At 43.4% G+C, this 14,600-nt stretch overlaps 1 protein-coding gene and 1 long non-coding RNA gene across 3 annotated transcripts in view; one reads left to right on the top strand and one right to left on the bottom strand.

The window, feature by feature from the left end:
- ZNF737 (zinc finger protein 737) overlaps window positions 1-4,416 on the top strand; it is a 35,506-nt gene extending 31,090 nt beyond the window's left edge. The window contains exon 6 of one of the 2 annotated variants that reach the window (XM_006722597.5): window positions 3,370-4,416. The gene's annotated coding sequence lies outside the window, so the exon portion shown is untranslated. The remainder of the gene's footprint in view (window positions 1-3,369) is intronic. The other variant, XM_005259697.5, reaches the window with a different exon arrangement.
- The window catches only part of LOC105372316 (uncharacterized), a 98,054-nt gene that overhangs the window by 36,404 nt on the left and 47,050 nt on the right, over window positions 1-14,600 (bottom strand). The window lies entirely within an intron of this gene.

The following is a 14,600-nucleotide window of genomic DNA, read 5'->3' as shown; positions in this document are numbered from 1 at the left end:
ATCTACTACCAGAAAAGTAGATTTTTTGATATGTATAATTTGACTCTATTTAAATTCTTCAGAAAAATTAAACTGACAACATTATTTACAAGTTTTTTGGAAATTAAAAATGCTTAAGAAACATTTATAAAAACTAAAAGTAAAAATAATTTCAGATTCTTAACATCTCTAAAATACTTCAAGTTATCATCCTCTGACAGTAGATAGATAGATAGATAGATAGATAGATAGATAGATATTTTTTCTTTTTTTGAGACAGAGTTTCACTCTTGCTCAGGCTGGAGTGCAATGGCACAATCTTGGCTCACTGCAACCTCCACATCCCTGGTTAAAGCGATTCTGCTGCTTCAGCCTCCCCAGTACCTGGTATTACAGGCACCCACAACCAAGCCTGGCTAATTTATGTATTTTTAGTAGAGATAGGGTTTCACTGTATTGGCCAGACTGGTCTCAAATTCCTGACATCAAATGATCTGCCTGACTCGGCCTCCCAAATTGCTGGGATTACAGACATGAGCCACCGGCCCAGCTCAGTGTTCAACTTTTCTGAATCAATTAACTCAGCTTAGATAATTTAAATCAGCCAATTAGGGGATTCCAAGCAGCCCATTAGCACATCCCAGGAGAATCCAATCAGCAAATTAGCTCAGCCCGGCTGATTAGCCCAGGTGATTTCTAACAGCCAACTATCTTATTCTAGGTGATACCAATCAGCCAGTTAGCTCAACTGATGAGCCCATTAGTTTAGCACAGGTGATTTTGAACCACCATTCACTCAGTCCAGGTGATTTCAATCAGTGAATTAGCTCAGCCCAAGTGATTCCAATCAACCAACTGATCAGTCCAGGTGAATTCAATTAGCCAATTAGCTCAGCCCAGGTGATCCCGATCAGCTAATTATCTAACTAGTGGCTACAGATTCATTCAGGTATGCCCAAAATGGTAAATGTAAATAGCCCATGCACACCAAAAAGAAATGCAGGGCCTTATTTGCTCACCTGGACAGTATATACCACACAGCTTTACAAGGCCTGAAACCTGAAGCTGAACCTTTATGTTTCTATAAACAACATTGTATGGCTATGTTTTATTCTGACATGCTACTGAGCAAAACAGAAGGCAATTAATTCTACACCTGCATCCTTAGTATACGCTCTATAATTTAAAAAGTGGGAGAATATTATATGTATACATTAATATTTACAAAGACACATTCATATGTTTGTGTTTATGTATCTACCATGTATGTATATTCATATACATACCTAATATGTATAAGTATATATATATGAAGCTGGAACAATCTTTATATATATTCATACAGAATAAAGACATTGAATGTGGAAGTATTGATAGCTATTGCTACAAACAGTAATACAAAAACCTTTCATACATGTATAAAAATCTTTTCCCTATAGAATACTATATCTAGAATAGTACAGAAATAGAGGAATGCTCTGATATACATCCTGCTGCACTTAATATATTCAAAGGAAGCACTGGGCTTTGTTGTGCGCTTCTGGAAGATGAATACTTACTAAGGCCTTTGGAGTTATTTACTGCCATGTCAGGATTGACTTTTCTTTTATTGTTGTATGTAGGGTCAGAGATGAACCAGCCCCAGTCCAAAGGTCCTAACCTAAATATGAGAATACTTATTCTTTCTCTTTAGAACTTTCATCAAGACAAGAACTGTATTTATTTCCAAGAGTGTGTGATGTAAAATCACACTCTTGTCTTTTTGTCTTTGAGGCAGAAGTCAGGTATTTATGGTAATGAAAAAGAAGTCTAGGTCTCTTTTTAGAAGATAGATGATGATGATGATGGAAGCAAATATAATGGTACATGGTACTTGGCCACATTTCAAATGGGTGATAGTGAACATTCACTGAAGTGCCACAGGTGGCTCTTATTTGCCAGGTCAAATCTGCTTTGTGAGGAAGGCTCAGCCCACTGATGTCAAGCATTTCTGGCAGTTCCTAGATAGACGAACAGAACCTCATGGGGCTGGTTTAATGGGATGAGAATTAAAAACACCCAGGTTCCAGGTTATTAAAGATATTTTTACATTTATGAAAAAATGTAATATGGTGTGTGGCTTGGTTTGAATAAATCTTCACTGAGCTCAGTAGCTGACTGATTTACCTAACCTGTAGGTAAAGAAAATGGAAATAGCCTCAGATCAAGTTTATTTTATAGGCTTCTTTCTGTACATATAGATACAAAATAGGTGGCTCGATAAACATATACACACAAAATGAGTCACATGGGTATGTCTATGAAATGTTTATTTCTGCATATGACCCTTAAAAAAAACCTCAGAAATAAAGTAGGTCAGATGACATCTCCGTATTCTACCCCTGAAGCTGAGATAAATTAAGCAAATTAGCAGAAACCAGGTGATTGCAATCAGCCAGTTTGCACAGCCCAGGTGATCCCAACCAGCCAAGTAGCTCAGCCCAGGTGTATACAATTATCAAATTATCTAAATGGTGACTGTGGCTTTGTCGAGACAGGCCCCAAATGGTAGGTGTGAACACAACATGCACAGAATGAGGAGACATGCAGAGTGCTGAAATACTGTCCTGGACAGATGTGTTACATGACTTTCTTTTCAGCTTATTTCTGTGGCCTGCCTTTGAAGATAGAGCTTTGTTGATATTTACATAAACAAAATTGTATAACTATGTTCCATTCTGACATGTTATTTAGCAAAAGAAAAAAGAAGTAATTCTACATCAGCATCTTCAGTGCATGCTAAAAGATTAAAAATGTCTTTTGGGGAACATGTTTTGTATACATAAATGTTTAGATAGAAATATTTATAGAATTCTCTATGTGAGTATTTATCTCCCTATGTATATTTATATCTAGATGTGTCAATCTTTGTATTGATATGAAATGCTATGAATAGTGAGATAAAAAGTAATTTCCAGCTGGGTGCTGTGGCTCACACCTGTAAGCCCAGCACTTTGAGAGGCTGAGGCAGGTGGATCACCTGAGGTCAGCAGTTCAAGACCAGCCTGTCCAACATAGTGAAAGCCTATCTTTACTAAAAAATACAAGAAATTAGCCAGGCTTGGTGGCAGGCATCTGTAATCCCAGCTACTAGGGAGGCAGAGGCAGGATAATTGTTGAACCTGGGAGGCCGAGGTTTCAGTGAGCTAAGATCACATCTATACACTCCGTCCTAAGCAATAGGGCAAGACTCGATTCAAAACAAAACAAAACAAACTAACAAAATGATGGTACACAAAACCTTTAAAGTACTTTTATAGAATATAAAAATATGGAAATCCGCATAAATGTTAATAGATACACCATATAGAATAATTTTAAAATCAACAACAGAAATTCTCCTTTACTTAGTCATAGTGTTGGAGGCGTTCGAACAAGAGTGACTCCGGCTCCCCTCCCCTCTCCCCTCCCCTCTCCCCTCTCCCGTCTCCCCTCTCCCCTCTCTCCTCCCCTTTCCACGGTCTCCCTCTCATGCCAAGCCAAAGCTGGACTGTGCTGCTGCCATCTCGGCTCACTGCAACCTCCCTGCCTGATTCTCCTGCCTCAGCCTGCCGAGTGCCTGCGATTGCAGGCGCGCGCCGCCACGCCTGACTGGTTTTCGTATTTTTTTGGTGGAGACGGGGTTTTGCTGTGTTGGCCGGGCTAGTCTCCAGCTCCTAACCGCGAGTGATCCGCCAGCCTCAGCATCCTGAGGTGCCAGGATTGCAGACGGAGTCTCGTTAACTCAGTGCTCAATGGTGCCCAGGCTGGAGTGCAGTGGTGTGATCTCGGCTCGCTACAACCTCCACCTCCCAGCCGCCTGCCTTGGCCCCCCAAAGTGCAGAGATTGCAGCCTCTGCCCGGCCGCCACCCCGTCTGGGAAGTGAGGAGCATCTCTGCCTGGCCGCCCATCATCTGGGATGTGAGGAGCCCCTCTGCCTGGCTGCCCAGTCTGGAAAGTGAGGAGGGTCTCTGCCCGGCCGCCATCCCATCTAGGAAGTGAGGAGCATCTCTGCCCGGCTGCCCATCGTCTGAGATGTGGGGAGCGCCTCTGCCCCGCCGCCCCGTCTGGGATGTGAGGAGCACCTCGGCCCGGCCACGACCCCGTCTGGGAGGTGAGGAGCGTCTCTGCCCGGCCGCCCCATCTGAGAAGTGAGGAGACCCTCCGCCTGGCAACCGCCCCATCTGAGAAGTGAGGAGCCCCTCCACCCGGCTGCCACCCCATCTGGGAAGTGAGGAGCGTCTCCGCCCGGCAGCCACCCCGCCCAGGAGGGAGGTGGGGGGTCAGCCCCCGTCAGGCCAGTCGCCCCGTCCGGGAGGGAGGTGGGGGGTCAGCCCCCCGCCCGGCCAGCTGCCCCGTCCGGGAGGGAGGTGGGGGGTCAGCCCCCCGCCCGGCCAGCTGCCCCATCCGGGAGGGAGGTGGGGGGCTCAGCCCCCCGCCCGGCCAGCCGCCCCGTCCAGGAGGTGAGGGGCGCCTCTGCCCGGCTGCCCCTACTGGGAAGTGAGGAGCCCCTCTGCCCGGCCAGCCGCCCCGTCCGGGAGGGAGGTGGGGGGGTCAGCCCCCCGCCCGGCCAGCCGCCACGTCCGGGAGGGAGGTGGGGGGGTCAGCCCCCCGCCCGGCCAGCCGCCCCGTCCGGGAGGGAGGTGGGGGGGTCAGCCCCCTGCCCGGCCAGCCGCCCTGTCTGGGAGGGAGGTGGGGGGGTCAGCCCCCCGCCCGGTCAGCTGCCCCATCCGGGAGGTGAGGGGTGCCTCTGCCCGGCCGCCCCTACTGGGAAGTGAGGAGCCCCTCTGCCCGGCCAGCCGCCCCGTCCGGGAGGGAGGTGGGGGGGGTCAGCCCCCCGCCCGGCCAGCCGCCCCGTCTGGGAGGGAGGTGGGGGGGCTCAGCCCTCCCGCCCGGCCAGCCGCCCCATCCGGGAGGGAGGTGGGGGGCTCAGCCCCCGGCCCGGCCAGCCGCCCCGTCCGGGAGGGAGGTGGGGGGCTCAGCCCCCCGCCTGGCCAGCTGCCCTGTCCAGGAGGTGAGGGGCGCCTCTGCCCAGCCGCCCCTACTGGGAAGTGAGGAGCCCCTCTGCCCGGCCACCACCCCGTCTGGGAGGAGGTACCCAACAGCTCATTGAGAACGGGCCATGATGACAACGGCGGTTTTGTGGAATAGAAAAGGGGGCAAGGTGGGGAAAAGATTGAGAAATCGGATGGTTGCTGTGTCTGTGTAGAAAGTAGTAGACATGGGAGACATTTCATTTTGTTCTGTACTAAGAAAAGTTCTTCTGCCTTGGGATCCTGTTGATCTATGACCTTAACCCCAACCCTGTGCTCTCTGAAACATGTGCTGTGTCCACTCAGGGTTAAATGGATTAAGGGCGGTGCAAGATGTGCTTTGTTAAACAGATGCTTGAAGGCAGCATGCTCGTTGAGAGTCATCACCACTCCCCAATCTCAAGTACCCAGGGACACAAACACTCTGCCTAGGAAAACCAGAGACCTTTGTTCACTTGTTTGTTTGCTGACCTTCCCTCCGCTGTTGTCCTATGACCCTGCCAAATCCCCCTCTGCGAGAAACACCCAAGAATGATCAATAAAAAATAAATAAATAAAAATAAAAGAATGATGCACATTTTAATAAAAAAAAATCAACAACAAACTGGAAAATATAGAGGCACAGTTTTTGTATTCAATTGAAGTTGTCATGAGATTAAAATATATTGCTTTAACTGTAAGATGTATGTAATCTACAGTTTTCAAGATGATTGCAAAGATTCTGTTTAAAGAAAGTATCTAAAATAAAACAAAAAATAATCAAAGCATGCCAGTACAAAATTAAAGAGAGTAAAAAAGGAAATGAGAAAAATATACTACTAGAAACACATGAAACAATAACAATATATCTGGAAATAACAACTTCATTTCTTTAAGGAATCATTTTAAATTTAAACGTATTAAACTACTTAATAAAATGAAATATAATCTCAGGACTTTGGAAGGCCAAGATAGGCTGATCACTTGATCCCAGGAGTTCAAGACCAGAATCGGCAACATGGCAATAATCTGTCTCGACAAAGAATACAAAAAAAAAAGTTGGCTGGGTGTGATGTTACATACTTGTAATGCAGCTACTTGAGAGGCTGATATGAGAGGATCATCTGAGTTTGGGAGATTCAGGCAGCAGTGAACCGAGCAAATCAGCCTGGTTGACAGAGTGAGACACTATCTCCAAAATACACAAGGCTGGATGTGGTGGCTCATGCCTGTAATACCAGCACTTTGTGATGCCGAGGCAGGTAGACCACCTGAGATCAGGAATTCAAGACCAGCCTGGCCATCATGGTCAAACCCCATTTCTACTTAAAATAGAAAAAATTACCTGGGTGTGGTTGCAGGCGCCTGTACTCCCACCTACTTGGGAGGCTGAGGCAGGAAAATTGCTTGAACCTGAGAGGCAGAGGTTGCAGTGAACTGGGGTCACACCATTGCACTCCAGTCTAAGCAACAAGAGTGAAACTCCATCTGGAAAAAAATATACATACACACACACATATATATATATACATACACTTGTGTATATATATATATGTGTGTGTGTGTATATATATATATATAAAATTATATAAAGAAAAAGATATAGAATGCCTGAGTGGTTTTTTATAAAGCATACAGTATGCTGCCTACAAGAGACTAATTTAATCATTGAGTCAAATAGGCTGAAAGTAACAGAATAAAAAAATGTATATTCCATGAATATAGTAACCACAAGTGAGTGAGGTGGTCATAATTATATTGGGCAGAATATGCTTTAAGTACTACCATGAGACAATGATTGATATTATATTATGGTAAAGTGAGTTGATTTAGCAGGAATTTATAGTATTTATCTATCTATATGTATATGTGTAAATAACATAAGGGCTTTAAAATATATAAAGCAAATATTGACAAAAGTGAAGCAAGACATACATAGCGACATAATAATTGCAGACATCAAGGCCCCATTTGAAGAAATAAATAGAGAATTCAGATAAAAAATAAGAAACAGAAAACTGAGACAACATTATAGACTATATTAGTTATTTTGCATATAGAGGAACACATGGGAGTGCATAATTTATAAAGGAAAATGTTTATTTGGCTCACAGTTTGGCAGACTGTATAAGAAGTGTGTGTCAGCATCTGCTTCTGGTGAGGATATCAAGAAGCTTAAAATCATGGTAGAAGGTAAAAAGTAACTGGACATATTATATGGTAAGAGACAGAGCAAGTGTGAGGTGAAGAAGCCAGGTTCTTTTAATGAACCAGCTCTCATTTGAATTAATGGAGTGTAAACTTTTTGTTTACCAAGAGGATGTACCAAGCCATTCATGAGAAATATGCCCTCATACAAAAACATGTCCCACCAGGTCTCACAACCAACATTGAGGATTTATTTTGCAGCATGAGGTTTGGAGAACATGGACATCCAAACCATATTATAGACCAACTAGGCTTCACAGACACACACAAAACTCTCCAGTCAAAACCAAGATAATATGCAATATTTCTATTTGCATCTGGTGTATTCCGTTAGGACACATAGCAAGTTTTATTAAATTTTAAAATACTGACTGGGTGCAGTGGCTCTTGCCTATAATCCTAACACTTTGAGAGACCAAGGTAAGAGGATCCATTGGTGCCAGAAGTATGAGACCAGCCTGGGCAACATAGTGAGATCCTAACACTACAAAGAAGCAAACAATTAGCCAGACATGGTAGTGCATGACTGTAGTCCTAGCCACTCAGAAAAGTGAGGTGAAAGCATCATTCAAGCCCAGGAGACTGAGGCTACAGTGAGCCAAAGTTATGCCACAGCATTGCAGCCTGGTGACAGTAAGATCTTGTCTCAAAACAACAACAACAAATCACTTTAAAAACACTAAAATTATACACTGTGTGTTTTCCAACAAAAGCTGAATGAAACTAGGAATTAAAAGCAAAAGTCAAACTGGCAAATTCAAAACCTTGTGAATATGAAACACACTCTTCATCAACATATTCTTGCTCAGGGGTCAAAAAATGTTATTTTTCAAAGATGTCAATACAACCTACAGTTAAAAGCTAAAGAATATAAACAATGTGATACAGAAACAAAGATGAACAGATGAAAGAACAGAATAGAGAGCTCAGAAATGAATCCTTCTGTATATGATCAAATGATCTTCCACGAAGTTGCCATGAGCACAAAATAGAAATAATCTCTTCAAAAAAATGATGTTGAAAACTGAATATCAGCACTGATAAAATTAAGTTGGATTATTTCCTAGAATGATACAAAAATATATTTTAAATAAAATGCTGAGACATAAAAAAACTAACAAATCTTTTAGAAAAACTACAGGAAAAAGACATGACATTGGCCTTGGCACCATTTTCTTAGATACAAAATTAAATACATGAGCAGCAAATGAAATAACAGAAAAGTTTTAACTACAATAGGCTTCAAAATTTCTTCATACCAAAAAACAATTCAAGAGTAATGACATCCCTTAGAAAATAGGTGAAAACATTTGCAAATTAAACATGAAAGAAGTTAATATTCAAAATATATAAACAACTCTTAAAACTAAAAAATAAGGTTGAATAACTTGATTTAGAAACGGACAAACAACATTTTCATTAGAAAAGTACACAAATGAGAAAAAGCATTTGAAAGGACACATAAAATTACTAATTTGTAAAGAAATGAAAAAAAAACCACAATGACAAACAAAATCACCTCATACCCATTAATATGGCCATGATAAATTTTTTTAAAACACCAAATCTGTTGATGATACAATAAAAATGAAATCCATATTGAATGTTGGTGGAAAACAAAGATGCAGCCATTATTTTAAAAATTATAAATGTTCCTCATTTATAAATCTATATCCAAAATATGTAACGAAGGCCAGGCACAGTGGCTCAAGCCTATAATCCTAGTAATTTAGGAGGCTGAGGGGGCAGATCACCTGAGGTCAGGAGTTTGAGACCAGCCTGGCCCCATCTCTACTAAAAGTACAAAAAATTAGCTGGGTGTGGTGGTGGGTATCTATAATCCCAGCTACTCGAAAGGCTGAAGCAGGAGAATCGATTGAACCCAGGAGGCAGAAGTTGCAGTTAACCAAGATCACACCACTGCACTCCAGCCTAGGCGACAAAGCAATACTCCGTCTGCGGGAAAAAAAAAAAAAAAAAAAATGCAACACTGGACCTGGGAGGCATATTTGAAAATTCATCTTTATTATACCAGTATTCACAAAAGCCAAAAGTCTGAAGCAACCTAGATGTTCCTTGATTTATAAACGTATCAAAAAATGTAACATATACATGCGATGGAATATTATTCCACCTTAAAAAGAACAATCTTGTCACATTTTAAGATGAACATTGAGAATATTATGTCAGTTGAATTAATCCAGTAACAAAATTATGGATACCGTATGATTCCACTTATATGAGATATCTTAAGTAGTCAAAATCATAAAAACAAAAAGTGGAAGTTTTGTCTGCCAAAAGCTGGAGAGAGGGTAAAATGAGATGTTGTTACTTAATGGTTACTGAGTTTTAGTTTTGCAATATGTAAAGTTTCTAGAAATCTTTTGCACAACAATGTGAATATACTTAACATGCCTGAAGTGAACAGCATTTTTTTTTTTTTTTTTTTGAGACAGGGTCTCACTCTGTCACCCAAGCTGGAGTGTAGAGGCACAATTTTGACTCCTCCTCAATCTCCCATGTAGCTGGGACCACAGCTGCACACCACCATACCTGGCTACTATTAAGTTTTTTTTTATGGAGAGGGGTCTCCATGTATTCCCCAGGCTGGTCTCAAACTTTTCAGCTCCAGATATCCTCCTGTCTTGACCTCCCAAAATTCTGGGATTACAGATGAGAGCCACAACCACAGCTGGCTGTGAAATATACACTTCAATAAATTTAAGATGGTAAATTTTATGTTATGTGTTTTTAAAACAACGTTTTCAAGGAAAAACTGACAAAAATACAGAATGGTAAATCTTTTTAAAAATTAACTTCAAATCACAAAAGTGTTTCTCTCACAAAAAGAAAATATATATTCATCATTAAACACATCGTGATAATGACTATCTCCACGACTACTCACTTAGACAAGATAAAACTACCATCGAAAATCAGCTAACAAAGAATATGAGATAAGCCATAAGTAAAATTGGCATCGTATTTATAGATAAACACGCATGTCAGGCCTCTGAGCCCAAGCTAAGCGATCATATCCACTGTGACTTGCATGTATACATCCAGATGGCCTGAAGTAACTGAAGAATCACAAAAGAAGTGAAAATGGCCTGTTCCTGCCTTAACTGATGACATTACCTTGTGAAATTCCTTCTGGCTCAGAAGCTCCCCCACTGAGCATCTTGTGACCCCCGCCCCTGCCCACCAGAGAACAACCCCCTTTGACGGTAATTTTCCATTACCTACCCAAATCTTATAAAATGGCCCCACCCCTATTTCCCTTCGCTCTCTTTTTGGACTCAGCCTGCCTGCACCCAGGTAATTAAAAAGCTTTATTGTTCACACGAAGCCTGTTTGGTGGGCTCTTCACATGGACACGCATGACATTTGGTGCCAAAAACCCAGGACAGAGGTAATCCTTCGGGAGGCCTGTCCCCGCCCTCACTCCGTGAGGAAATCTACCTATGACCTCGGGTCCTCAGACCAACCAGTCCAAGGAACATCTCACCAATTTCAAATCGGGTAAGCGGTCTTTTCACTCTCTTCTCCAGCCTCTCTTGCTACCCTTCAATCTCCCTGTCCTTCCAACTCCAGTTCTTTTTCCTCTCTAGTACAGACAAAGGAGACACATTTTATCCGTGGACCCAAAACTCCGGTGCCAGTCTTAGACTCAGGAAGACAGTTTTCCCTTGGTGTTTAATCACTGTGGGGATGCCTGCCTGATTATTCACCCACATTTCATTGGCGTCTGATCACCGTGGGGACATCTGCCTTGGTCATTCACCCACATTCCCTTGGTGGCAAGTTAATTGCGGGGACACCTGCTTTGGATGCTCACCCATATTGCAGCCCAGGGCTGCTCACCACCCTCTTCTCCATGTCTCTACCTTTCTCCTTAAACTTACATCCTTCACTATGGGCAACATTCTGACCTCCATTCCTGCATCTTCTCCCTTAGCCTGTGTTCTTAAAAACTTAAAACCTCTTCAACTCTCACCTGACCTAAAACCTAAGCATCTTATTTTCTTCTGCAACACCACTTGGCCCCAATACAAACTCTATAATGGTTCTAAATAGCCAGAAAATGGCACTTTTGATTCCTCCATTTTACAAGACCTGGATGATTTTTGTCAAAAAAGACAAATGGTGTGAGATGCCTGATGTCCAGGCATTCTTTTACACATTGGTCCCTCCCTAATCTCTGTTCCCAATGCGACTCATCACAAATCCTCCTTCTTTCCCTCCCACCTGTCCCTTCAGTCCCAACCCCAAGCATCACTGAGTCTTTTCAATCTTCCTTTTCTACAGACCCACCTGTCCTCTCCTCCCCAAGCTGCTCCTCGCCAGGCCAAGCCAGGTCCCAGTTCTTCATCAGCCTCCGTTCCCCCACCCTATAATCCTTTTATCACCTCCCCTCCTCACACCCGGTCTGGCTTACAGTTTCATTCCATGACTAGCCCTCTCCCACTTGCCCAACAATTTCCTCTTAAAAAGGTGGCTGGAGCTGAAGCCATAGCCAAGGTTAACACTCCTTTTTCTTTATCTGACCTTTCCCAAATCAGTTAGCATTTAGGCTCTTTTTCATCAAATATAGAAACTCAACCCAGTTCATGGCCCATTTGGCAACAACTTTAGATGGTTTACCGCCCTAGACCCAGAAAGGGCAGAAGGCCGTCTTATTCTCAATATGTATTTTATTACCCAACCCACTCCCAACATTAGAAAAGCTCCAAAAATTAGATTCTTGCCCTCAAACCCCACAATAGGACTTAATTAACCTTGCCTTCAAGGTGTACAATAATAGAGAAGAGTAAAAATTACTTGCCTCTGCTATGAGACAAAACCCAGCCACACCTCCAGCACACAAGAACTTCAAAATGCCTAAGCCACAGTGGTCAGGCATTCCTACAGGACCGCCTCCCTCAGGATCTTGCTTCAAGTGCCAGAAATCTGGCCACTGGGCCAAGGAATGCCTGCAGCCCAGGATTCCTCCTAAGCCATGTCCCATCTGTGCGGGACCCCACTGGGAATCAGACTGTCCAGCTCGCCTGGCAGCCACTCCTAGAGCCCCTGGAACTCTAGCCCAAGGCTCTCTGACTGACTCCTTCCCAGATATTCTTGGCTTAGCGGCTGAAGACTGACACTGCCTAATCACCTCAGAAGCCTCCTGGACCATCACAGATGCTTTAGGTAACTCTTACAGTGGAAAGTGAGTCCATACCCTTCTTAATCAATACGGAGGCTACCCACCCCACATTACCTTCTTTTCAAGGGCGTGTTTCTCTTGCCTCCATAACTGTTGTGGATATTGACAGCCAGGCTTCTAAACCTCTTAAAACTCCCCAACTCTGATGCCAGCTTGGACCACATTCTTTTACGCACTCCTTTTTAGTTATCCCCACCTGCCCAGCTCCCTTATTAGGTCAAGACATTTTAACTAAATTATCTGCTTCCCTGACTATTCCTAGGCTACAGCCACACCTCATTGCCATCCTTTTCCCCAGTTCAAAGCCTCCTTCACATCCTCCCCTTGTATCTCCCCATTTTAATCCACAAGTATAGGACACCTCTACTCCCTCCTTGGTGACAATTCATGCACCTCTTACCATCCCATTAAAACCTAATCACCCTTACCCCAAAGGATTAAAGCCCGTTATCACCTGCCTGTTACAGCATGGCCTTTTAAAGCCTATAAACTCTCCTTACAATTCCCCCATTTTACCTGTCCAAAACCCAGACAAGACTTACAGGTTATTTCAGGATCTGTACCTTATCAACCAATTGTCTTGCCTATCCACCCATTGGTGTCAAAACCATATACTTTCCTATCCTCAATACCTCCCTCCACAACCCCTCCATAACCCATTAGTCTGTTCTGAATCTCAAACATGCTTTCTTTACTATTTCTTCGCACCCTTCATCCCAGCCTCTCTTCTCTTTCACTTGGACTGATGCTGACACCCATTAGGCTCAGCAAATTACCTGGGCTGTACTGCTGCAAGGCTTCACAGACAGCTCCCATTACCTCAGTCAAGCCCAAATTTCTTTCTCATCCATTACCTATCTCGGCATAATTCTTCATGAAAACACATGTGCTCTCCCTACCGATTGTGTCCAGCTAATCTCCCAAACCCCAACCCCTTCTAGAAAACAACAACTCCTTTCCCTCCTAGTCATGGTTAGGTACTTCTGCCTTTGGATATCTAGTTTTACCATCCTGACTAAACCATTGTATAAACTCAAAAAGCAAACCTAGCTGACCCCACAGATCCTAAATCCTTTCACCACTCCTCTTTCCATTCCTTAAAAGCAGCCCTAGAAGCTACTCCCACACTAGCTCTCCTTAACTCATCGCAACCCTTTTCATTACATGCAGCCGAAGTACAGGGCTGTGTGGTCAAAATTCTTACACAAGAGCTGGGACTGCACTGTGTAGCCTTTCTGTCCAAACAACTTGACCTTACTGTTTTAGGCTGGCCCCCACATTATTCCTGATACCACAACTGGCCCACATGACTGTATCGCTCTGATCCACCTGACATTCACTCCATTTCCTCATATTTCCTTCTTTCCTGTTCCTAACCCTGATCACACTTGGTTTATTGATGGCAGTTCCACCAGGCCTAATTGCCACTCACCAGCAAAGGCAGGCTATGCTATAGTATCTTCCATGTCTATCATTGAGGCTACCGCTCTGCCCCTCTGTGCTACCTCTCAGCAAGCCAAACTTGTTGCCTTAACTCAGGCCCTCAATCTTGCAAAGGGACTATGCATCAATATTTATACTGACTCTAAACATGCTTTCCATATCCTGCACCCCCATGCTGTTATATAGGCTGAAAAATGTTTTCTCACTATACAAGTGTCCTCCATTATTAATGCCTCTTTAATAAAAACTCTTGTCAAGGCGGCTTTACTTCCAAAGGAAGATGGAGTCATTCACTGCAAAGGCCACCAAAAGGCATCAGACCCCATCGCTTAAGACAATGCTTATGCTGATAAGGTAGCTAAAAAACCAGCCATCAAAAGGCATCAGATCCCATCACTTAGGACAATGCTTATGCTGATAAGGTAGCTAAAAAGCAGCTAGCATTCCAACTTCTATCCCTCATGGCAGTTTTTCTCCTTCTTATCTGGTCACTCCCACCTACTCCCCCACTGAAACTTTCACCTATCAATCTCTTCCCACACAAGGCAAATGATTCTTGGACCAAGGAAAATATCTCATTCCAGCCTCACAGACCCATTCCATTCTGTAGTCATTTCATAACTTCTTCCATGTAGGTTACAAGCCACTAGACTGCCTCTTAGAACCTCTCATTTCCTTTCCATCATGGAAATCTATCCCCAAGGAAATCACTTCTCAGTGTTCCATCTACTAT

Source organism: Homo sapiens, chromosome 19, assembly GCF_000001405.40.
Source record: "Homo sapiens chromosome 19, GRCh38.p14 Primary Assembly".
Lineage (NCBI taxonomy): Eukaryota > Metazoa > Chordata > Mammalia > Primates > Hominidae > Homo > Homo sapiens.
Note: the sequence above shows the minus strand (reverse complement) of the source record. Positions and strands in the feature narration are given on the sequence as shown.